Raw genomic sequence first — 24,824 nt, 5'->3', positions numbered from 1 at the left:
GCTTTGGGATGGCTAGACTCATAGAAGGGGGCAAAAGAACTTGTCCTGGAGCTGTTTTTCTTTCTTTCTTTCTTTTTTCTTTTTTTTTTTTTTTGAGATGGAGTTTCGCCCTTTTGCCCAGGCTGGAGTGCAGTGGCTCCATCTCAGCTCACTGCAATCTCCACCTTCCGGTTTCAGGCGATTCTCCTGCCTCAGCCACCCAAGTAGCTGGGATTACAGGCCCCTGCCACCACGCCCGGCTAATCTTTGTTGGCCAGGCTGGTCCCGAACTCCTGACCTCGTGATCCTCCCACTTCAGCCTCCCAAAGTGCTGGGATTACAGGCGGGAGCCACTGCGCCCTGCCCTGGAGCTGTTTTTCTAACAAGCACTCAGAAGCACCTCCCTCCCCACCCTCCTCCAAGCCTGGACCCACCGTATGTCTTCCCGTTTGGTCTACAGAAAGGATTCTGGGAGATAGCAGGATTCTAGGTGGAGGAAACTTTTTATTTGGCTGACACTCTGAGGGGATGGGGGGACAGGGATGGGGAAAATTAATGAGCCAGACCAGGATGGATTCCTTTGGGTAGCTCTAATCTTTCGTGCCCACCTCAGCCCCAGCAGGCAGCATTTCTCAAATCCTAGCTTTCGGCGACCCTCCGGCCGCTGGGGGAAGGAGGGGTGACAACCCCACCTCCTCCTGGCTCTGGCTGCTAGGAAGCTCTTCCCTGAGTTACCAATTCCTCCGCTGGCCCCTTCTCCCATGACCTCTGACGGGGCATCCAAAACTCAGAGCCAGGTTATTTATAGATAAGCCCAGAGGAGGTGGGGGAAAGGCCAGTGTTTACAAACATGGGTCACCTGAGTCTGAGCGGCCACGAGAGCGGTCTGGGGGAGGGGCGAGACCGGACCCTGTGGATCTGCGACCAAGGGCTCTGTCTCTGGCCCAACCCCACTGAAGGCGAATGGGGAGAGGGCCCAGAGCAGGCAGGGAGTGGGCGCTGCTCAGATGCTGGAGCACGTGGCCCAGGGTGTGGGCCAAATGCAAACTGTATGCAAATCGCAGTGCTCCGGGGGCGACCTCTCGGCCGGCGGGACCCCCGCGGGGCCCCTGGCCTGGTGGGCCGGGGACCAGGGGCCGACCGGGTCAGGGCCCGCCTGAGGGAGAGGCCGAGTCTCACAAGTTTCCTCCCCATCACTCACAGCCAAAGAGGGTCCCGCAGAAAGACCCCGCAGGCCTTGAGAAAGGGAATTGCTCCTCAGTCCCTGCCCTGGCGCGCCCGCTCCCGGCCCCGCGTGCGGCGCTGGGAAAGGGGTGTCGGGTTACCAGCGCGGGGGCTACAGTTAGCCTCGAGAACCTTTGCTTTCAGCCGGACTCCGGACTCCTCCGGGGACAGCGCAGCGCCCGCCAGAGCCCTCGGCGCTCCCTCCCGCTGGCGGCTTCCGCAGCCTTCAAGTGGGTCCTCCGCCCCCGGCCCTCCCCTCTCAGGCGGAGCCAAACTGCGGCCCCGCCTTTACAGTCTCGGAAAGGTCCCCAGACTGGAGGCTCTGAGGAAGGGGTGTGGGGAGTCGGGGGCGGAGACTTGGGGCGGGGGGCGGGCAATAAACTCCCAGGCCCCGCCCACGCCCCGCCGGGGCCCTAATCCTGGACCCGGGATCCCGTGCGCCTGGAGACAGGGTCCAGATCTGCCTCCAGCCCCTCGAAACCAGGACTCCAGCACCTCTGGTCCCGCCCTCACCCGGACCCCTGGCCCTCACGTCTCCTCCAGGGATGGCGCTGGCGGCTTTGATGATCGCCCTCGGCAGCCTCGGCCTCCACACCTGGCAGGTAACTCCAGGAACCATCTCCTAGCCCCAAGGGGGACATTAAGGGACAGACCCTGAGGAAGTGGACCCGGGGCTGACTCCTCACATCCCTCTCCCAGGGACTCTTCCCTAGGATTCCACTCTTAACTCTCTTCCTCTCAGGAACCTCCATCTCTGCAGGGAGCCCCAAGTTCCCATTCTGTCTCCTAGAACCCCCATCTCCATCCCTCTCTGGATGCCTCCAACGTTCTCCTCCCCACCTCTCATCTCCCAGCGCAGGCACAGCCCGGCAAAGCCTCCTTGGGTTACCTGTGTGCTGCAGTCCTGGCAGCCCGTCCCAACCAAGGCTTGGCCTCCCCACCACCCCTACCCCAAATGTGGGTACAGAGCAGGGGAGGACTCAGGCGTCTCAGAGCTCACAGTGATTTGGTGTGGTGGCTGAGCACCTACCTGCAAGGGCTTCCTGCTGGATGAGAGGGAAAGAGAGCCCGAGGAGAATGGGGCTGGGGGTTAGGCAGCTGGACACTGGCTGTGTGTAATATTTGCACATCACCTGCCTGCCAGATCTTACAGCCGGAAAAGTGCTTGATAGTCATCTAGTCCCACCTCCCACCGACTGCAAGAACCTTTCTAATGACAGGATGACCCCTTTTAGGTTGTACAGAAGTAATGCTCTTTATGCTGTCTTCATAATAACTGTGAGGTTGGAAGTATCCTCAAGTCCAGAAAAGTTATGACACTTGCCCAAGGCCTCACAGCTAATAGGTGGTAAAGTCAAGATTTCAGCCTGCGCGCGGTGGCTCACTCCTGTAATCCCAGCACTTTGGGAGGCTGAGGCTGGTGGATCACTTGAGGTCAGGAGTTCGAGACCAGCCTGACCAACATGGTGAAACCCTGTCTCTACTAAAAATACAAAAAATTAGCTGGGCGTGGTATTGCGCACCTGTAATCCTAGCTACTTGGGAGGCTGAGAGAGGAGAATTGCTTGAACCCGGGAGGCAGAGGTTGCAGTGAGCCAAGATCGTGCCATTGTACTCCGGCCTGGGCAACAGAGCGAGACTTCGTCTCAAAGAAACAAACACAAAAACAAATTAGCCAGGCATGGTGGCATGCACAGGTAATCCCAGTTAGTTGGGAGGCTGAGGTGGGAGAATCACTCCAACCTGGGAGGTGGCGCTTGCAGTGAGCCGAGATCTCACCACTGCACTCCAGCCTGGGCAACAGAGCAAGACTCCATCAAAAAAAAAAAAAAAAAAAAAAGATTTCAGTCCATGTCTGACTGACTCCAGTGCCTGTGTTATTTAAGCCTCTTATTGGGCCCTTGCCAAATTGCATATACCTGATATTTAGGGATAGAAATGAGATTCTGTGTTTCTGGATGGGTTTGCCCCCAGGACCCATGTCCAGTGCTCTGAACTTATGCTCTTTTCGGTGTGGCACCTCTTTTGCTCCACAGGCCCAGGCTGTTCCCATCCTGCCCCTGGGCCTGGCTCCAGACACCTTTGACGATACCTATGTGGGTTGTGCAGAGGAGATGGAGGAGAAGGCAGCCCCCCTGCTAAAGGAGGAAATGGCCCACCATGCCCTGCTGCGGGAATCCTGGGAGGCAGCCCAGGAGACCTGGGAGGACAAGCGTCGAGGGCTTACCTTGCCCCCTGGCTTCAAAGCCCAGAATGGAATAGCCATTATGGTCTACACCAACTCATCGAACACCTTGTACTGGGAGTTGAATCAGGCCGTGCGGACGGGCGGAGGCTCCCGGGAGCTCTACATGAGGCACTTTCCCTTCAAGGCCCTGCATTTCTACCTGATCCGGGCCCTGCAGCTGCTGCGAGGCAGTGGGGGCTGCAGCAGGGGACCTGGGGAGGTGGTGTTCCGAGGTGTGGGCAGCCTTCGCTTTGAACCCAAGAGGCTGGGAGACTCTGTCCGCTTGGGCCAGTTTGCCTCCAGCTCCCTGGATAAGGCAGTGGCCCACAGATTTGGTAATGCCACCCTCTTCTCTCTAACAACTTGCTTTGGGGCCCCTATACAGGCCTTCTCTGTCTTTCCCAAGGAGCGCGAGGTGCTGATTCCCCCCCATGAAGTCTTTTTGGTTACCAGATTCTCTCAGGATGGAGCCCAGAGCTTGGTGACTCTCTGGAGCTATAATCAGACCTGTAGCCATTTTAACTGCGCCTATCTGGGTGGTAAGCTGTGCATGGGGGAAGCAGGACTGGCAGTGTGGGTGAAATAAGCCAGGATGTCCTTACACAATAATCCCCGGGGCCTTCGGGAGACCCACTTGGTTAAAGGGGAAATGAGGGCTGGAAGTCAGCTGGAGTTGCTGTCCTCTGTGACTCAGGTTTTTTGGGGTCCTATAAGTGTTTTCTAGATTCGTGAACATTCTTAGATGATTCTATATGTCCTCAAAAGGGTCCATCTGCTACATGGTCTAATAGACCAAAAGAACCTGGTTAAGGAGATTAGCAAGCAGCAGAAAGAGCCAAGGGGACTGCTTCAGGTCTCAGGGGGGCCCTGGGCTCGATGGGGCTGACAGGGCACGTATGTGCCATTCCCAAGTGCTAAGGCAGGGAGAGATGGAAGAGTGACTGGGTCTTGGGTGGGAAGAGGGATGGAAAGGCAATCTGGAAAGAGTTCCTGGAGGACGGAGGAGGAAGGGAAATCAGAAGTTTCCCTTTAGGTGAAGGGAAAGATAGATTGAGAAGGGAAATGGCCCTGCCAGGGCCTGGTGGGCCAGGCAGTTTGGGTGCGAGTCTGTCCACGCGGAGGCCTCACCCTGCTGTCTGTTGCAGGGGAGAAGAGGCGGGGCTGTGTGTCTGCGCCAGGTGAGTTGCCCTTCCATCCTCCTTCAGCTGCTTTGACTCCCCCTCACCCTGCTGACCCCTTCCTCCTCTTTTCCCTTCAGCAGGGGTGCAGCTAGGGTCACAATCTGAGGGGGCCTCCTCTCTGCCCCCCTGGAAGACTCTGCTCTTGGCCCCTGGAGAGTTCCAGCTCTCAGGGGTTGGGCCCTGAAAGTCCAACATCTGCCACTTAGGAGCCCTGGGAACGGGTGACCTTCATATGACGAAGAGGCACCTCCAGCAGCCTTGAGAAGCAAGAACATGGTTCCGGACCCAGCCCTAGCAGCCTTCTCCCCAACCAGGATGTTGGCCTGGGGAGGCCACAGCAGGGCTGAGGGAACTCTGCTATGTGATGGGGACTTCCTGGGACAAGCAAGGAAAGTACTGAGGCAGCCACTTGATTGAACGGTGTTGCAATGTGGAGACATGGAGTTTTATTGAGGTAGCTACGTGATTAAATGGTATTGCAGTGTGGAGACATGGAATTTTATGATTGGTTTATTCCATGAGACTAGACCTTCTGCCCCGCTGTGGCCTTGCTGGGCTGAGGGACTGACTGAGGGACTAAAAAAAAAAACTTCTTGGGGCCAGGAGCAGGTGGCTCACGCCTGTAATCCCAGCACTTTGGGAGGCTGAGGTGGGTGGATCACGAGGTCAGGAGATCGAGACCAGTCTGGCTAACACGGTGAAACCCCGTCTTTACTAAAAATACAAAAAAATTAGCCGAGCGTGGTGGCGGGCACCTGTAGTCCCAGCTACTTGGGAGGCTGAGGCAGGAGAATGATGTGAACCCGGGAGGCGGAGCTTGCAATGAGCCGAGATCGCGCCACTGCACTCCAGCCTGGGCGACAGAGCAAGACTCCGTCTCAAAAATAACAATAATAATAACTTCTTGTTATTATTAACACGGTCTCCTGTGCAGACCTGTGTAACACTCTAACTTGCAAATCCAGAAGCTAGAACAGCTAGAGGGTCCTCACGACAACCATGAAGGCAGGAAAGCAGGCAGGTGATTCCTCAGCCCCACTTGTCAGGTGAGGAATGCAAAGCCAAGGAAGGAAGCAACTGGTCAGAGGGTTCCCATTGAACCCCGGCCTCCCGCCTCCCCGGTCTCCTGCCTCCTGGTCCAGAACTCTGTCCATAAAAGATCTGAGGAAACTCAAAGTAGGATCCCAAGCCCAAGATACTTGGGAACACAGAGCAAGTCATTTCTCTCTGCCCTGCTCCCACAAGGGTCCATTTCAGGGGAAAGAAGAGGGAGGACCTCAAAACATCAAGAGACAGAGATTCTCACACAGCCTGGAGGCCTCTCACATCCAGAGCAGAAACTTTATTGAAGCAAGAAAAGCAGCACAGGCTCCTCCCAAGGGGCCCCCCACCCTCACCCTCCTAGGCTACCACGCTCAGCAACAGAAGAAGGGACTCTTCCACTGTATCAGGACCTCCTCTCAGTCCCCGAATCCTCCCCCTGGGGCAGGTCCCCAGCCCCCTCTGCTTCCTGCTCCCTATGAACTAGCACATGAGCTGGGGAGCAGGGGCCAGACTCTCCGGAAGCCAGAGTCCTCACCCCTCCAGTGTCCTGAAGCCCGGTTCCTGATGATTCCTGGGTCCTCACAATCCCAGGCCCTGTCAGCTCTGGGGTCTCAGGGATGGGAGGCCCCAGGTTCTGGAAGCTGTTGTGCACTTGAGTGATGTAGTGACTGAGGACGCTGGCACCGTCGGGAGGCCGGGGCGTCCCTCCCTCTGCCAGAGTTCACCGCACACCGGCTACCTCGCTTTGCAGTCGAGATATGGTCTTGGTCAGCTCTGTGAGTCTGTTGCCCAGATCTGGAGGAGGTGGAGTACCAAGGGGCCTTTCAGAGGATGAGCCTGCCCTATACCCCTTTTACCCTTTACAGTACCCCAGGGGTTGCCCTATCCAGGATTCCTGAGGGAGAACTGGAAGAAGTGAGGAACGGGTTTGTGGGCTAGGGGTCAGGTGGGTGGGTGAAGCTGGGGCAGGTGAATCTGATCGGGGGTGGGAGGGAGTAGCTGAGGAGCTGGAAAGAAGGAAAGTCTGGGGGCCAGAGAAAGATGACAAGCCACGGGGAAAGCTTACTGGACTGCGTAGACATTTGTGCGTTCACCTGCCTGCCCTCTCCCGAGTCTACGGCCAGCCAGCTCACCCCATCCTTCAGGGCCCAGTTCAGATCCCACCCCCTTTGTCCCTTCTGCTACTCTATCCTTCTGCCTTCTCATGAGCCTCTCAAAATGACGTGCTCCTTCTCCCTTCAGGCGCCCATGGCAATTCGCGTCTCTCTTAGCTGCACTTCATGCCCGCTGTGATGGTTTCTCTTCCTCACCAGACTGAAAGCTTCCCGTGTGTCCCTGCCCTACAGTGCCCCGTCTCTCCCTCCAAGACAGGGCCTGGAACAAAGGAGGCCATAGTGATGAATGTTGGTGGAACGAGTCAATAAGCGAGTGAATGAAAAAGGTGAATGAGTGACTGGGTAAGGGAGTGAATGGGAGAATAACTGAACACACCTGAAGGCAGGAATGAGCACTTACATGAAATGAGTGGGACAAATGCCCGGATGGGTCAGAGGGTAATGGAGTGCAAGGGGCATGCTGTGCAGGTTACCCTTCCAAGGGCAGGGCAGGATGGGACCACATATTATGCAGGCTGAATGAGGACATGACGCTGGGTATGGAGCCTTTATCCCAGCTGAACAAGGAACAGGAATGGGGAGGGCTTGGAGGTGGGTGACAAACCTTTCCGCCGGGTCTCCTCGAATTCTCGCCGGGCAGTCTCTGTGTAGCGCTGTACCAGGGCCTTGATGACGTGAAGGCGGTAGGATCCACGCTCTCCCTCCCCAGGCACAGCCCCTGCCCTGGGATTGGCCTGGAATGGGAAGACAAGAGGGTGAGGGAGATTCTCTACCTCCAGCCTTCCTCTGATCACTGCCCATTTCCCCCCACCCCCAGGCAAAAAAGTCTGTGTAGACTTTTCTGTCCCTGACCCACCTAGCCCCTGGCCTCCATCTCACAGTGCGGACCTGGAAGGTAGAAGGACAGGGGCCAGAAGCTGGGAAAGGGCTGACGGTGAGAGGACCAGGAAGGGGTGGGCGAGGGCTGGGAGGCTGATGGTGTGGAGGGGGAGAACCCCCTACAGACCTGGCAGTACCTGAATTAGGAAGGCACCCTCATGCCAGGCCAGACTGGGCTGGGGAGCTCCTTGGATGTCCGGCCTCTTGGCTTCCTCTCTTAGGCCACTGTCAGCCATTTAACTGCCCAGTTTGTGGGACATTTACCTTTGGCTTCTTAACATGTTTTTTTAAAAAATGTTCAACTACGTCTTGGACCAGTTTAGGACAAAAAGGTCTGTCTGGAGCTTAGTGGGTATTTCTAGCTTGGGAGGAGGGTGGTAAGGACTTCTGTTTAGGCTGCATGACACAGGGTTGGAAATTCAGGAAATGGCCAGAGCCTGGAAGAGGGAAAGGGAAGCCACGTGAGAGAGTAGGATTGGGACAGGCTTTCTGGGGGAACATACTGGAAAGATAGATAAGCCCGGGGTATGCAGACAAATGGATGGTATAGACAATACAAGTGAAGCCTTACGCCAGGGCGACCAGCAACAAGCCGAGGAGGTACTCACAAAAGTAGGGATCGGGGGATAGTCTGGCTTCTTGGTTTTGCAGCAGGAACAGCAACAGCAAATGAACTGGCAAATTCTCCTGAGAGATTTCAGTGGTGGGAAGAGGTCGGTTAGAGGACAGGGAAATGGGGGCAGGGGCTGGGGATTTAGGGGGTGGGAGTGGGAGCTCTGAGGTCATCACCTGAGAAGGTAGAAGACAGCCTTCGAGGAGGGCAGGATGTTGAAGGGCACAGGCAGTGTCAGGCCCTCTCAGAAGTAGAACAGATACAGCTTGGAGCGAGCAAACGTCCACTCCACGTCAGCATCATCCTGGGAGCCAGGCAGCAGGGGGTGGTGCAAGGACCCCTTGCATATGGCCCTCCTGCCCACTCAAACTGTCTCTCTTTTCTCCGCTCCTCACATCTTTGATTCTCCAGTGTGCCTATAATCCTAGCCAGCCTCTTTCTTCTCCCCAGACTTATCTCCCACCTCCCCTATCACCCGCATTTCTCCTGCCTGTCCCCCGTTTCCTCTCTCCCCACCATTGTCTTTCATCTTTCTGACATCCAGTTCCTGCCCAGCCTATTCTCCAGCCTGCAGACCCTAACCCATCCATTTCCTTCCCTCTCCCTCTCATGTTCCCGTTTACTTCTCTACAACACACTCCTCTGCCCAACCCTAAGGGGGAATGAGCACTAGACTTGGTGTCTGAAGATACTAATAGCATCACTAAGACCCTCATTTTACAGAGGAAAACTTGTCCAAAGCCACAAACAAGACAACAGTGGAGGCAGAGCATGGCGCCACATGTCTTGCCTCTTTGCACCCTATTCCTCTCCATTCCTTTTTCCCTTCTTGGCCCTGGCCTAAACTGGCCTCTGTTTACATACCTCAATCTTCTGGAAGGAGTTGGTGATCATAGCAATGAGCATGTTGAGCAGCACAATGACCATGATGATGGTAAAGATGCCATAGAGGGCCCGGCCTGCAAACTCGGGCACCAGAAACTGAGGCACGTCCACCACGCTGTGCTCTTCCATACCGAACATGGTCCAGAACAGAAACTGAAACGTCTCATTGAAACTGGCATGCCAGGCCAAGTAAGGAACAGGAAATGAGGGGTGGGAGAAAAGCCTGAGCTCACCCAGACACACTCTTTCCCACCCCCCAGGACCTGGCCAAGAGTGCCCACTTCCATGCAGCCCTTTGGACCACCTTGGCCAGTGCAGACACTTGTGCTGTTTCTGAGCTCCGGATCTTATTCTTTCAGTCAACCGGTATTTACTGAGCGCACAGTCGTGTCACAGGTGCTAAGGATACATCAGTGGACAAGACAAGCACGTTCCTGTCTTCATGGCCTTATGTTCTGGGGTGCGGGGGGCGGGGTGAAATGGATACTACTTATACCAACAATTTAAATTTGTAGCTGGGTGTGGTGGCTCACGCCTATAATCCTAGCACTTTGGGAGGCCGCAGTGGGCAGATCGCTTGAGCCCAAGAGTTGGAGACCAACCTAGGCAACATAGTGAGACGCCGTCTCAATTTAATTTACAAAATATTTAAAATTAAAAAATTAAAATTGTGACAAGTGCTGTGAAGGAGCAGCCCAGGATGTTATGACCTAGTCTGGGGCTGGGGAAAGCTTCTTTGAGAAGCATTCAAGCTGAGCTCTGAAGGATGTGTGGGATTCCACATGTCAAAGGGAAGGAGAAGTGTGAAAAAGGGTATTCCCCAAGGCAGACGAGCTCTGGGCATCTGAGAAACTGAGAGAAGTCCGGCACGGCTGGTCTCAGAAGGCAGAGGAGAGAGATGCTTGTGAGAGGTAGTTAGGGACCAGCCACCTCATGCAAGAGCTTGTAGGAGAAAAACAAAAATCCTTACCATGGTCTATGAGCAATAGGAAGCTGTGAAGAGTTCTAAGCAGAGGGGTGACGCTGATTTACATTGGAAAAGATCATGTTGGCTGCTGTGAGTAGAATGGAAGGGAAGTAAGTGAGACAGCAGAGGTGCAGAGACCAGGTAAGAAATTGTTGTCATGGGCTGGGCATGGTGGCTCACGCCTGTAATCCCAGCACCTTGGGAGGCTGAGGTGAGCCAGTCACCTAAGGTTGGGCGTTCAAGACCAGCCAGGCCAACATGACGAAACCCCATTTCTACTAAAAAATGCAAAAATTAACCAGGTGTGGTGGTGGGTGTCTGTAATCCCAGCTACTTGGGAGGTTGAGGCAGGAGAATCGCTTGAACCGGGAAGGTGGAGGTTGCAGTGAGCTGAGATCACGCCACTGCTCTCCAGCTTGGGTGACAGAGCCAGACTCCATCTTGAAAGAAACTGTTCTCATGGGCTAGGTGAGACAGGTTGGGGGTTTGGAGCACCCTGGTAGCAGCTCCAGTGCTACCTCTTTCAGGCAGTCCTTCCCTTCCCTACCTCCAGCAGAAAGTTCGCCAGTCACAGACCTGACCACATTTTCCTTCCTCTTGTATTTATTTGTGAATCCGTCTCATTCCCTCCGTCTCAGCACCAGTTCAGGTATAGATTCTCACAGCTTTGCACTGGTCTGTGGGCTCTGTCTCTCTTATTATTCTGTCCTCCACAGTGCATCCAGGGTGCTCCTTCTAAATGTGAACCTGACCTAATCTGTTGTACTTTGGCTTGTCAACCTTTAAATGCTCCTAACTACCCTCAGTCCAGACGTCTACCATACAACCTACGTAAGAATTTTAGCAAAATTATTTTTGATGCACTGGTCATGGTGGCTCACACCTGTATTCTCAGCACTTTCGAAGGCAGAAGCAGGAGGATCACTTGAGGCCAGGAGTTAGAGACCTTGTCTCTACATAAAATAAAAAAAATTAGCCAGGTGTGGTGGCACACGCCTGTAGTCCCAGCTACTCAGGAGGCCGAGGCAGAAGGATAGCTTGAGCCCGGGAGTTCAAGGCTGCAGTGAGCTGTGATTGTGCCACTGCACTCTGGCCTGGGTGGCACAGTGTGACCCTGTCTCAAAAAACAACAGCAAAAAACAACTTTTGACTTACTTAGCAGTCACTCATGAATGAATAGCCCAGGAGGGCTTGGCCTTCCCTTGCCACTGTGAAGTGATGTCACCAGGAGCCACAAAGCAGGCTGGTCTGAGTAGTTCCTATCCCTGGCACTAAGAGTCACAGTAAACTCAATTCCTTTAAGCTAACAGCCTGAAGCCAGGCTATGAACAAGAATTCTTTGTAAGAGCATAGGTCTGAATACAGCTTCCATATACACTGGAACCATGAGAGAGCCTTGACCAAGTGTGGGTCCTTTAGCATCATCGATAAAACTATCAGGCAGTTGCACTCATGAGGAATTTATGATTGGGCAGCTGCTTGGGAGGCCACCTAGAGCTCTCTGGCCTCCTGGAGAAAGCCCAAGCTTCTCACCAAGACCTCCCTGAGCTTCTGACGTGGGCCCAGCTACCCTCTCTCACTTCCTTTCACAAAATTCTCTCCATGTGCCAACTATGGGAGGCATCTTGCTGTTCTCCAAATATACCTCCCTGCTTTGGCGCATGCCCCCTCTCTGCTCAGAATGCCCTATATCTTCTCTGAAGTCTGTAACCTTCCTAGCTGAAGTCCAGATTCTCTCTTCTCTGTAAAGCCTCCCCTGGTCATCTAAGACAGAGGAAGGTGCTTCCTCCGCTGGGCACAATCAGTATAAACTCTCCTTTCTCACAGCACTTGTCGCAAATTGAGCTCATTTGTGCACATGGCTGTCTTCTCTATGACAAAGAGTCTGGTTTATTTCTCCTGCCTGTGCTTCCAGTGCCAGGAAACAGAACCTACTAAAAGAAAGTGTCAGTAAATAGGTATGAAGTCAGTGACAACAAAAAACCTACAACAACTGAATGACTAAGAAAGTGAATGAATTTTAAAAGTGAGTGAGACTGGGTGTGGTGGCTCATGATGACATCATGAAATGCTGTCATCTCAGCATTTTGGGAGGTTGAGGCCAGAGGATTGCTTGAGGCCAGGAGTTCGAGAACAGCCTGGGCAACACGGCAAGACCCTATCTCAACAAAAAGATAAAAAATTAGCTGAGTGTGGTGGTGCATGCCTGTAGTCCTAGCTAATAGGAAGGCTGAGGTGGGAGGATGGTTTGAGCCTGGGAAGTCGAGGCTTCAGTGAGCCATGATCACACCACTGCACTCCAGCCTGGGTGACAGAGCAAGACCTTGTCTCTAAAAAAAAGAAAAAAAATTTTAAAAAGTGAGTGAGTGGGCCGGGCACAGTGGCTCACACCTGTAATCCCAGCACTTTGGGAGGCCGAGGAGGGTGGATCACCTGAGGTCAGGAGTTCCGGACCAGCCCGGCCAACATGGTGAAACCCCGTCTCTACTAAAAATACAAAAATTAGCTGGGTGTAGTGGTGTGCCTGTAATCCCAGCGACTCAGGAGGCTGAGGTGGGAGAATTGCTTGAACCTGGGAGGCGGAGGCTGCAGTGAGCCAAGATCGCGCTGCTGCACTCTAGCCTAGGCAACAGAGCAAGACCCTATCTCAAAAAATAAATAAATAAATAGAGTGAATGAACAATAAATGAGGGAATAAACAAATATATAAATTAGTTATTAGCCACATTTAGGAAGAATTGAGCACCCAAAAGAATAATGACTGTAATGGATTATCATATTGAGTCCATAGTGATATTCAAAAAAGAGGAAAGGCCGGACGCGGTGGCTCATGCCTGTAATCCCAGCATTTTGGGAGGCCGAGGTGGGCAGATCACCAGAGGTCAGTAGTTTGAGACCATCCTGGCTAACATGGTGAAACCCCGTTTCCACTGAAAATACAAAAATTAGCCGGGCGTGGTGGTGCAGGCCTGTAATCCCAGCTACTCAAGAGGTTGAGGCAGGAGAATTGCTTGAACCTGGTAGGTGGAGGTTGCAGTGAACCGAGATCATGCCACTGCATTCCAGCCAGGGTGACGGAGCGAGACTCTGTCTCAAAAGAAAAAAAAAAAAAAGAAGAAGAAGAAAGTAGGTGAAAACACTTCTTCACAGAAGGATGCCAGTGAATAAATGTAGAAGAAATGACAGAGGCAGAAAATCATGATCTTGAAACCACCGTAATAACCAATTCAGGTAAAAATCATCTATGGATGCTAAATCCACTGGGTAAAAGGTTTTGAGGGAGCAGTGTTGTCACACAGTCTCAACATAGCTTCCTGTTACTAAAAGGGCTTCCCTGGTACCATTACAATGAAGACTTTGCTACAGCAATTGGCCTCACCAATAGGCCACACTGATATCATGCACCTTCTACTGTGATGCAGTAGAAAGTACACACAATCAACTAGGTCATGTTCTTGCCAAAACTGCTTAACTTGAATCTAATTATGATCAATAATTTATAGATAAATCCAATTTGATCTACACTCTTCATGCAAGACAAAGAGGTCGGGGTGTGTTCGAGATTAAAGGAGACTAAAGAGATAGCACAACAAAATGTAATGTGTGATCCTAGATTGGATATCAGATTTTTAAAACTAGAGAGACTTTTTTCCAGGCAATTGGGGAAATATCAATAAGGACTGTATAGTAAATAATATTAGGGTATGAGGCCGGGTGCGCTGGCTCATGCCTATAATCCCAGCACTTTGGGAGGCCGAGGCGGGTGGATCATGAGGTCAGGAGTTAAAGACTAGCCTGGCCAACATGGTGAAACCCCGTCTCTACTAAAAATACAAAAATTAGCTGGGCCTGGTGGCGGGTGCCTGTAATCCCAGCCACTCAGGAGGGTGAGGCAGGAGAATCACTTGAACCCGGGCGGTGGAGGTTGCAGTGAGCTGAGATCGCGCCACTGCACCCCAGCTGGGCGACAGAGTGAGACTGTGTCTCAAAAAAAAAAAAAAAATATATATGTATATATATATGTGTATACATATGTATGTATACGTATGTATGTATGTATACATATGTATACGTATGTATGTATACATATGTATACGTATGTATGTATACATATGTATACGTATGTATGTATACGTATGTATATATGTATACGTATGTATGTATACGTATGTATATATGTATACGTATGTATGTATGTATACATATGTATACGTGTGTGTATATATAATATGGATGTTAAATTTTTTGAGTGTGATAATACTTTTGTGGTTATGTTCTTAAAAGACATCCTGAACTGTTTAGGGATGAAGTGTCATTATATTTACAACTTCCTTTTAAATGTTTCAGGAAAAAAATAGAATAAAGGGAGCAACAGATGAAGCAAGTGTGGTAAAACATTAACGATTGGTGAAGCTGGGTGAAGGATATAGGGGTGTCCACTGTACTTTTCATAGGATTGACATTTTTCAAAATAACAAGTTTGAGGAGAAAATGGGTAAACGAATGAATGTATAAATGAACAAATGAATGAGTGACAGAGTGAATCAAAGAAGGAGTGAGCAAACAAGAGAATTAGTTGAGTGAATAAATGAGGGAGGGAGGGAAAAGGAGAGATCACTAGGGCTCCAAGCTGTAAGGTCCCAGGCTCTCTACCTCCCATCCTGCCTCTGCCCCTGCATACTTGCCCAGCCACTCTGTCTTCTGGTAGGGCACATAGATGTTGTTGAGGCCACAGAGGAAGGCGGTCAGGATGATCATGAGGATGAACATAAACCTGGCAGGGGGTGGGATGTGGGAGGGTCAGAGCAGGTCTCCACCTTGAGAGAAGTCAGGCTCCAGGAAGAGGGATGAAGGCCTCCCTGGCTCTCTGCTCAACAAGTATTCAATTTGGTTATTTATTTATTTATTTATTGAGACAGAGTCTTGCTCTGTCGGCCAGGCTGGAGTGCAGTGGCACGATCTCAGCTCACTGCAACCTCCGCTCCTGAGCTCAAGTGATTCTCCTGCCTCAGCCTCCCGAGTAGCTGGGATTACAGGTGTGTGCCACCATGCCGGGCTAATTTTTTTTGTATTTTTAGTAGAGACAGGGTTTCACCATGTTGGCCAGGCTGGTCTTGAACTCCTAACCTCAGGTAATCTGCCTGCCTCGGCCTCTCAAAGTGCTGGGATTACAGGCATGAGCCACCACGCCCGGCAGGTTATATATTTATTTATTTATTTTTGAGACGGAGTCTCGCTCTGTCAGCCAGACTGGAGTACAGTGGTGCCATCTTGGCTCACTGCAACCTCTCAATCTCAGGTTCTAGCAATTCTCTTGCCTCAGCCTCCCAAGTAGCTGGTACTACAGGTATGTGCCACCACACCCAGCTAATTTTTGTACTTTTGGTAGAGACTGGGTTTCACCATGTTGGCCGGGCTTGTCTCAAACTCCTGACCTCAAGTGATCCACCCGCCTTAGCCTCCCAAAGTGCTAGGATTACAGGCGTGAGCCACCGTGCCTGGCCAAATTTGGTTATTATTAAGAATGGAGGCCGGGCGCAGTGGCTCACGCCTGTAATCCCAGCACTTTGGGAGGCCGAGGAGGGCGGATCACAAGTCAGGAGATCGAGACCATCCTGGCTAACACGGTGAAACCCCGTCTCTACTAAAAACACACAAAATTAGCCGGGTGTGGTGGCTGGCGCCTGTAGTCCCAGCTACTCGGGAGGCTGAGGCAGGAGAATGGCGTGAACCCGGGAGGCAGAGCTTGCAGTGAGTCGAGATCACGCCACTGCACTCCAGCCTGGGCAACAGAGCGAGACTCCGTCTCAAAAAAAAAAAAAAAAAAAAAAAAGATTAATGGGTACTAAGTCCAAGCAGTCAAAGCTGAGGACAGAGCGGTCTCCCAGGGAGGGAATGAGATGCTGAGATTCTAAAGGAATGACACAGGGATAGCTGGGAGTCAGAATCCCACTGAACAGGAGTTATCACCAGAAGAGTCAGAGTCACATGTGAGAATGAGCTGGCCTGCCATGGGGAGGCCAGAAAATTCCTGGGGTGGGGTGGGAGGTTCTCCCTCCAGCTAAGCTGAGCTAAAGTTGTTAATATTAATAGATGCAGCTAAGGTTTTTCCCACCAAGGACACTCACTGTAGTCCTACCTCAGGCTGAGGATTCCCAGGGAGGCAGGCATTAACTATGGGGCCTGATTAGGTGAGAGGCCAGGATTTGCTGGACATGATTAGGTGATGAGCACCAAGAAGGCCAGTTAAGGTCAGGGGCTCAAAGAGCTGAGTGGAAGGGATCCAAAGGGACCCCTGAGTCCACTGCTTTTTCCTTAATGATGGGAAAACTGAGGCCCACAGAGGGGTCATGGAGACTGACAGAACTGGGACTGGAACTCCCAACCAAGGGCTTTTTCTGCTATCTATGGTTCCTAATCTTTTCTGGGGTCATGGCCTCTTTGAGAATTAGATGTAAGTTGTAGACCCTCTCTGCAGAAACATATACACTTACCCTCCAAATTTTGCCTGTAGTTTCAGGGGGTCAGAGGTCTTTGGAGCGCACGTCTCTGTAGGAACACAGGTCAAGGATTCCTGTGTTACCCAAGAGCTGGGGAGTTTTGGAAGGAAGTCAAGTGGAGTCTACAGAGAGGAGCGAGCTCAGAGCAGGGCCGGTACGCACCGGATCATGTCTTCAATCATCTTGCCAATGGAAATCTGCAGAGTGCCCAGCGACTCGTGGGCCGGCAGAATGTAGGCCAGGCGGGTGAAGCTGAGCATGCTGGTGGCAGTGAAGAGCACCTCAGCCAAGAACTGGGGATCCTCGGTGTGCCACTCGCTTCATTCTGCACGGGGTGGAATGGGGGCTGTGGCTGGGAGCCAAGAGCCAAGAAAGAAGAACTGGGGGATTCAGGGCTGAATTGAAGGGACACTCACCAGCCATGGTGAAATAGTGGCAGGCAGCCGCTTGGGAGGCGTCCCGGCAGTGCATGGGGGCAAGCCCAGCCAGGAGGAGGCGCAGTGCGAAGGCTGCCAGGTACAGGGACAGGACGACCATATCCAGGAAGTTCCACCAGTCCAGGAGGTAACTGCGCAGGCCCTCAATCCACACTTCCTTGCACTCAAACCACAGGAAGCCTGAAGCGGGGTGGCAGGGAGCCAGGACAGAATGGGACCGAACTTCTCCTTCTATGTCAGAGCTAGATTACGAGGCAGGGGTAACCTATGAATGGCAGTGAGGTGCTAAAACATTATGGGGTGAAGTCAATGACATGTAAACATGTAATCTACTCAGGAACAGGTGATCTTATGTGAACATAAAAAAGACGCCTTGCTGATGCAGACACTGCTGGTGTGACCTGAACCAATGATCCCAGTCAGCGGATACTCCGAATGTGAGTATCACCTGGGACAGGCTGTCTATTAGGAGGGAATGACTGAAATTTGTTTCTCTGTGCCCTCCATCAAGTAAATACTGGACAAATAACTGAAGAATATTGATTTGAGCCTGGGTGCGGTGGCTCACGCCTGTAATCCCAACACTTTGGGAGGCCAAGGCAGGAGGATTGCTTGAGCCCAGGAGTTTGAGACCAGCCTGGGCAACATGGTGAAACCCCATCTCTATTAAATTATTTTTAAAAATTAAAAAATACAGAGTATCGACTTGAAGGGGTTCCAAATTCTCAGGCTGCTCAGGGTGCCTGTGTTCCAGTGAGGCCCAGTACCAGACCTGGGGCTGGGGGTCTTGGGAGCTGGACCCCATAAGCTAGGTGGCCCTGCCACATTGCACCCTTCTCATTCCCTGGATACAATCACATGCTTTTCCACTCATGGTTTGTTCCCTGTGCCTAGAATGTCCTTCCACATCTTCTGGAAGCCCAGCTCACCTTTGTGGCCCAGGTCGCATGTTATCTTCTCCAAGTAGCCTTCCCTAAGCAGGTGGAGTGAATTTCTTGGGGTTTTGTGTTCTCACAGCTCATATCTCTGTGATCCCATCACTACAGGGCACTGCAGGATCTCTCTCCACAGGTCTGTCTCTACCCTGCCTCCCCCTGAACTTGGAGCCCCTCAAGGGCAGGGACTATGTCCACTCATCTCTGTCCCTGGTGCCCAGAACAAATTAAACAAATATGAAAAAGAATGTATATATATATATTTTGAGACAGAGTCTCGCTCTCTGGTCCCCAGGCTGGAGTGCAGTGGCCCGATCTCGGCTCACTGCAACCTCCGCCTCCTGGGTTCAAGCAATTCTCCTGCCTCAGCCTCCCGAGTAGCTGGGATTACAGGCACATGCCACCACTCCTGACTAATTTTTGTATTTTTTAGTAAAGACAGGGTTTTATCATGTTGGCCAGGTTGGTCTCGAACTCCTGACCTCAGGTGATACACCTGCCTCAGCCTCCCCAAGTCTTGGGATTACAGGCGTGAGCCACTGCGCCTGGCCTAAACAAACATTTAGTAAGCTCCTACCATGTGCCAGTGGGAACCTGTGGTGAATAAGACAGTCCCTGCCCTCCCAGGGCTTACAGTCTGTGAGGAGCATAGTGGGTAACCCAAGCGGGTCTCACACAATGTGGTAAATGCTAGGACTAAGGAGCAGGGGGACAGAGGGACTGTTATGGGTGTTTAGGGATGGACCCTCACCCTGATTTAGGGGCCAGGGAAAACTTCTCCAAAAGTGGCATTTAAGCTGAGACCTGAAGGAGGAGTGGGAGCCAGCCAGGTGAAGGGGCAGTGCAGGAAGAGGCAAGTGCTCCAGGAAATGTGAATGAGCAAAGGCCTAGACAAATGTGAATATCATGTGGTCGGGAACCTAAATCAGTCCTGTAGAGCAGGAATGCCCTGTGAGGGTAGGGTGCACGCTCAGTGAATGTGTGTTGGATGGATGGGGCCATGTTAAACTTCTCCATGTACCCTTAGGGCTTCACTTATGATAGGGCATCAAGAAACATTTATTACATGAATAAATGGGTTTTGTTTCATATGTTTCTAAGACCTTTCTTCTCCCACGGGTAGGAATTGTATTGGTTTCCTCTCCACTCAGCACAGGTCAATCCATGTTTAGTAAACAATAGGATGAGAAACTTTCCCTCTTGGGCTGCTCTTATTTTCTTTCCCTAAAGTTTCTGCACCAGATTTCCTTTCTGACATCACTGACTGGCCTGGTACAGGGTGGAGCAGTGGACTTGGTATACTGGTGGCTCTAGAGTTTACTAACCAAGCCAGAACTAAATGAGAGGAGGACAGCCGAGGAAGGCGCCACCAATTCGGCCTGCTGAGCTGACAGGCCAGAGGCTGCTGAAGCTCTGGGGATTCTTGTAAATTGCATTTGCTAAATTGTTTGAGAATACTCAATTCTGCTATAGAAGAAAAGAAAACCAATGGAATGGATGAAACTTATGCGTTAAGTATAGGCTAGTTACTTTAGTGACACGTTGAACAAGTAAAGTTAGTAGAGCATGTGTGGGTGAACATACATAGAAAGAGATGGACAGACTATAAATATTCATGATATACTGAATATGCATGAAGCATACGAGGCCCTCAGTATTCATGAGATCTTAAATCAGCTACCCACTGGCACCAGCCATTCTGTTTCGACATGTCCTCTGCCCGAATAATACATATGAAATTAATAGCTACTCATCAGGATAATTGGCAAGCTACAGCTGCAGCCAAACATACCTGCCACTGTGTTTCTCCCATAGATCAAGTCTTGGGCCAAGGTATCTTCTTTTATTATTTTTTATTTTATTTCATTTTGGAGACAGAGTCTTGCTCTGTCACCCAGGTTGGAATGCAGTGGCACAATCTCAGCTCACTGCAACCTCCGCCTCCCGGGTTCAAGCAGTTCTCCTGCCTCAACCTCCATAGTAGCTGGGATTACAGGCACATGCTGCCGTGCCTGGCTAATTTTTTGTATTTTAGTAGACACGGGGTTTCACCATCTTCCCCAAGCTGGTCTTGAACTCCTGAGCTCTGGCAATCTGCCCGCCTCGGCCTCCCAAAGTGCTAGGATTACAGGCGTGAGCCACCGCACCTGGCCAATCTTCTTTTATTTTTAAGGGATGGCGTCTCTCTATGTTGCCCAGGCTGGTCTTGAATTTCTGGCCTCAAGCAATCCTCCCACCTCAGCCTCTTGAGTGGCTGAGATTACAGGCATGAGCCACCATGCCTGGCTCCAGGCACCTTCTGTCCATTGCACCACCCCCCTAACCCCAGCCACTCAAACCTCAACTCTGATCCTTATTACAACACCATCATAATTACACCACTTACGGATTTAACTCTCTGTATGATTTGAGTCCTTTCATTTGGTCTGTGAGCCTTTCTGCTCCATGACCTCCAGGAGAGTCTGTCTTGCAGTACTTGGGGGCTGCCATGACACCAAGGTAGTTTCCCACCTCGCACTGTGGACCAGGGTCTTATTTGTGAGAGAACAGAAACCTCCAGGGTGGGTAGTGACTGATGCCAGGGATGGGGAAGAAGGGGTCCTTGCTCAGGGAGTCTACCACAGGGCTAGGTCCCTGACTAGGGGTGAAGGGAAAGGGCCCTGTAGTGTGCTACAGCCCAGAGGGGTCTGGTTATATGTTCAGGGTCATCTACAAAGCAGGATCCCCCTGTTGGGGTGCTTATTGTGAAGGACAGGAAGGAGGGCCCCTAAGGGACACTGCCACAAATAAAGGGTCCTACACGTATACCTGTGACACAAATCATGTGTAGTGAAGTCTCCCAGACACTCTGGCTGCGGCCACGGAAGGTGCTCAGCTGTGTCTCCATGACCAGGGACTCTCCCAGCAGGAAGATGAGGAACCACAGATAGGAGGCAGAGTGCAGCAGGAACTTCAGTACTGGGATCTTTAGCAGGTGGCCCAGCTTCCAGGGGAAGGAGGGAGAGTAGGGCTCTCAGTCCTGGGTGTCTCTCCCTCCTGTGAGCCCTTCCTAGACTGCTCCACCCACATGTGACTCCCCTTTCTCAGATTCAGTCACGCACTATTCAGACATATATTGAGAATGTGCTACATATCAGGCCGTAGACTCCTATCTGTTGTCTCCTTCCAAACCATATGAGGTAGACATTATTATTCCCTTTTTTTTTTTCAAGAACTGAGGATCACAGATGTAAAGTAACTTTGCCTCGGAGGCCCGACAGGCTCTTCAAACTCAACCACGTTAAAAAATAAATTCATCATCTTCTATCCTATCTTGCTCTTCCATCTTCTGTGTCCCCACCTCATAAAATGACCTTGTCACCCAGGCCGGGAATATGAAACATCTCTACGTGCTTGTCCCCTCACACCCAGTCTCCCTAACTCCTGCCCTGCACCCCCAGCCCACCTTTCACACCCCTAGTAGAGGGCACTTTCTGAAACACAAGACTGATGCGGGACTCGCCTCATTAATCCTACAATGGCTCCCATCCTGCGTGGCTTATAAGGGCTGTGTGAGATCTGGCCCCTGCATGCTTCTCCACCACTCTTCATCTAATTCCTTTCAGTTTCTCTAACACTTTGGGTTCTCCCTCCCCCAGGCCTTCACACGTATGCTCCTGCTTCCTGGAAGACCCCTCTCCCCATTCCTCACCTGCTCAGCAGGAACAGGGCTTTTCTTCATGATAACCCCAGTGCCAGGCACCATGCTTGGCTCACAGTTGGGTCTCAAGGACATATTGGTTGGATGAAGGGCTCCCATAGAATTTGTAGCTGGGGTGGGCCTCTCTTTAGGCGAGTATAGGGCTGTTAGTAGGATTAAGGTTTTGGAGGCAGAGAGACTTCGGTTTAAATCCTCACTCCACTATTTCCTGTGTACTTTTGACAAAAAGAGCATTGCCCTTCCCTGTGCCTCAGGTTGCTCCCCTGTACCACTGAAGCAGAATGCCTTCCTCAGGGCTACACTTGCAGCTACTTAATGGAAACATTCACACAAAGTTATATTCACCAAGTGTCTAGCCCAGGGCCTCATAAAACAAGTGCTCAATAAGTGACAGTTATCATTAATCTTATTCTTAGTACCTGGGACTTTGGTGTCAGCCAGTAGCCAAGGCAGAGGAAGGGCATGGTGAGGAAGATGAGGAAGGTAGCAAAGAGCTTCCAGCTGGTGGTGCTTCCCCGCCAACCAGCCAGGTTCCCACACTAGATGGAGGACAGGACTTGCTGGCAGATGAGGTGTGCTACGAACTAAGCAGAGATGGGGCATAAGCAGAGTGGGAGGCCACCAGGCAAGGATGAGGATGGGGGAGCCAGTTGGGTACACAGCCCTTCCTTCCCTGCCACAGAGGTCGAACAATCCTTCTTTTCTCCCCACACCAGCCAACTCGCTTGTCAGATGACCGTGGTCAGACCCATCTCTCTCTAGGCCTCGGTCTATGGAGGGGAAACTGAACTCAAAGATTTTCCTGAACTCTCTGGACCCTACATTCTTGAGTCTAAGTTAATCAGTGGTGGGTAGAACTGGGGACCCAAGACCCAGAACCCCCAGGGTCCCCTGCCTTCTTAGAGGTGTGGGACATCAGCCTGGATGATCTTGAGGAGGGCAGAAGAGGGAAGCTGGGGTTTGCTGTACTGGGAGACAGGGCCAGGGGAGCCATTATGAAGGAAGGTTTTTGGTTAAGTTCCTGGTGGATGTTGAGGGTGGATGAGAGTGAGGAGCAAGGAGCTGGGGGAGGCTAAACAAGGAGCCTGTCTTTAGCTTAGAGGGGAGGATGTCTGAGGAGACAGGGAATAATAGAACCTTTTGGGGGATATTTAAGGCCTGAGAGATCTAGTCTTATCTTGCTTTATAGAGTGATGTACTGAAACTGAACAACAGAAAGACTGGATTGAAGTAACTCAGCAGGTCAGAGACAAAGCTGTCTAAGACCAGATGTCCTGGTCTGAAGGTGAGGTCTTGGTGGGTAATGGGTCTTCCAAGGGCTGGGGAGAGGTTAGGGGCTTAGATTGAATGTAAGAAGGGAGGGGACCCACAGGGTCAAGGGCTTAGACAGAAGGGTGCTCAGGACCAAGGCCTGAGAGGGTCTCGAGGGCAGGAAAAGGAGTTGCTTAGGGCTGGTCAGGGAGACCTAGAGGTGGCAGGGCAAGAGAAAAGGACAGGGAGGGGATATAGGTGGGGCCCAGCTGACCCGCTTCTGGTTGTAGTTGACAGCCAGTCGCAGCCTCACCAGGTTGGGGATGCCTTCCTCAAAGGCCAGGCCCAGGCCTTCAGCCTCGGGCTCAGTCTCGCTGTCCTCGGCCAGGTCGTTGAGCACTGCAGTGACCTCACTCTGGTTCCAGCACATGCCCAGCAGCTGAAAGCCATAGTCCTGGCTCAGTGACTCCAGAGCAATGTACTCAGGCTGTAGAGAAGCAGGTCCGTGTATGCCTACCACCCTGTGGATCCAACCCCATTAAATCAGCCCACTCCTTCCTACCCACACGCCCACCAGTAGTGGGCCTGGGCCACCTCTGTCCTGCCCCTGCACCATCAGTTCCTATGTCTGGTGTCACTAGGGCATTGATTTCTTTTTCCTTTGCCACCTCACCCATCCTTCTTTGTTTTTTTGTTTTTTTTGAGACGGAGTCTCGCTCTGTCGCCCAGGCTGGAGTGCAGTGCTGCAATCTCAGCTCACTGCAAACTCCGCCTCCCGGGTTCAAGCCATTCTCCTTGCCTCAGCCTCCTGAGTAGCTGGGACTACAGGTGCCCGCCACATGCCCGGCTAATTTTTTTGTATTTTTAGTAGAGACGGGTTTTCACCATGTTAGCCAGGATGGTCTCAATCTCCTGACCTCATGATCCGCCCGCCTCGGCCTCCCAAAGTGCTGGGATCACAAGCGTGAGCCACCGCACCCGGCCTCATCCTTCCTGCTCTAATGAGATACCTCCTGGGTCACTTCGCTTATCTAGTGCTATTGCTACCTCATCACTAAGTCACTTCAACCCAAACCCTTCTGTCATTTTTTCTGTCTCTTTTCCTTCCCCTTCTAATCTGTTTCTTGTCCCACTTTTACTTCTACTCCTTACACCCTTCATGTGCTCATTTAATTAATTTATTGGAACACCTACCTTATATGAGAACCTGCGTTGGCAATTTTAGGAGATGCAGAAATGAATAAGGCAGTTCTTATTAATTATTATTATTATTATTATTTGAGACGAGTTTCACTCTTGTCACCCAGGCTGGAGTGCAATTGCGCGATCTTGGCTCACTGCAACCTCCGCCTCCTGGGTTCAAGCGATTCTCCTGCCTCAGCCTCCTGAGTAGGGGAGATTAAAGGTGTGCGCCACCATGCTCAGCTAATAATTTTTTTGTATTATTAGTATAGATGGGGTTTCACCATGTTGGCCAGGCTAGGCTAGTCTGGAACTCCTGACCTTAGGTGATCCACCTGCCTCAGCCTCCCAAAGTACTGGGATTATAGGCGTGAGCCACCGCGCCCGGCCACTTATTTATTATTTTTAAAAAATAGCTGGGCATGGTGGCTCATGCCTGTAATCCCAGCACTTTGGGAGGCTGAGGCGGGCAGATCACCTAAGGTCAGGAGTTCAAGACCAGCCTGGCTAACATGGTGAAACCTTGTCTCTACTAATAACACAAAAATTAGCTGGGCGTGGTGGCAGGCATGTAATCCCAGCTACTCGGGAGGCTGAGGCAGGACAATCGTTTGAACCCAGGAGGTAGAGGTTGCAGTGAGCTGAGATGGCGCCACTGCACTCTAGCCTGGGTAACAAGAGTGAAACTCTGTCTCCAAAAAATTA

General features: G+C 51.6%; 1 protein-coding gene and 1 pseudogene across 8 annotated transcripts, besides 2 other annotated features; one reads left to right on the top strand and one right to left on the bottom strand.

Annotated features, from left to right (window-relative positions):
- Positions 1,010-1,059: a silencer, noted in NCBI's record as "silent region_3081". NCBI's record gives its function as "represses an Ori minimal core promoter by ATAC-STARR-seq in GM12878 lymphoblastoid cells {active_cell/tissue: GM12878}" and the evidence as "EXISTENCE:reporter gene assay evidence [ECO:0000049][PMID:35858748]".
- Positions 1,199-1,912: an enhancer, noted in NCBI's record as "H3K27ac-H3K4me1 hESC enhancer chr11:3662929-3663642 (GRCh37/hg19 assembly coordinates)". NCBI's record gives its function as "activates a minimal SCP1, AML or CMV promoter by ChIP-STARR-seq in naive H9 embryonic stem cells {active_cell/tissue: H9 hESC(naive)}" and the evidence as "EXISTENCE:reporter gene assay evidence [ECO:0000049][PMID:30033119]".
- ART5 (ADP-ribosyltransferase 5) lies at positions 1,232-5,099 on the top strand. Of its 7 annotated transcripts, none has more exons than NM_001079536.2 (5): positions 1,232-1,433; positions 1,747-1,805; positions 3,240-3,969; positions 4,576-4,608; positions 4,818-5,099. In NM_001079536.2, exons 2-5 carry the CDS (start codon positions 1,749-1,751, stop codon positions 4,871-4,873), a joined length of 876 nt encoding a protein of 291 aa, NP_001073004.1. In that variant the 5' UTR covers positions 1,232-1,433; positions 1,747-1,748; the 3' UTR covers positions 4,874-5,099. The 7 variants fall into 7 exon arrangements, 6 of the variants coding, with proteins under 6 accessions (NP_001073004.1, XP_005252836.1, XP_011518181.1 ...); XM_005252779.4 differs by having other exon boundaries at positions 4,692-5,099; XM_011519879.4 differs by having other exon boundaries at positions 4,689-5,099.
- A 952-nt stretch (positions 5,100-6,051) lies between these two features.
- Positions 6,052-17,151, bottom strand: TRPC2 (transient receptor potential cation channel subfamily C member 2 (pseudogene); annotated as a pseudogene). The gene is made up of 7 exons (NR_002720.2): positions 17,031-17,151; positions 16,777-16,939; positions 9,127-9,319; positions 8,439-8,566; positions 8,258-8,336; positions 7,375-7,504; positions 6,052-6,450 (listed from the first exon to the last, which is right to left on the bottom strand). The product of NR_002720.2 is annotated as a transient receptor potential cation channel subfamily C member 2 (pseudogene) (transcript).
- Positions 17,152-24,824: the final 7,673 nt, after the last annotated feature.

This window comes from Homo sapiens, chromosome 11, assembly GCF_000001405.40.
Source record: "Homo sapiens chromosome 11, GRCh38.p14 Primary Assembly".
Taxonomy (NCBI): Eukaryota; Metazoa; Chordata; class Mammalia; order Primates; family Hominidae; genus Homo; species Homo sapiens.
The sequence above is the reverse complement of the archived record's forward strand: the minus strand, read 5'-3'. Positions and strand labels throughout refer to the sequence as shown.

What these genes read in the sequence shown, in the direction of transcription:
- ART5 (XM_011519879.4), top strand. Translation starts at nt 1,749, where the DNA reads ATGGCGCTGGCGGCTTTGATGATCGCCCTCGGCAGCCTCGGCCTCCAC. An exon ending in TAACTGCGCCTATCTGGGTG is followed by an intron (nt 3,970 to 4,575) that starts GTAAGCTGTGCA and finishes TGTCTGTTGCAG; the next exon opens with GGGAGAAGAGGCGGGGCTGT. An exon ending in GGGCTGTGTGTCTGCGCCAG is followed by an intron (nt 4,609 to 4,688) that starts GTGAGTTGCCCT and finishes TTTTCCCTTCAG; the next exon opens with CAGGGGTGCAGCTAGGGTCA.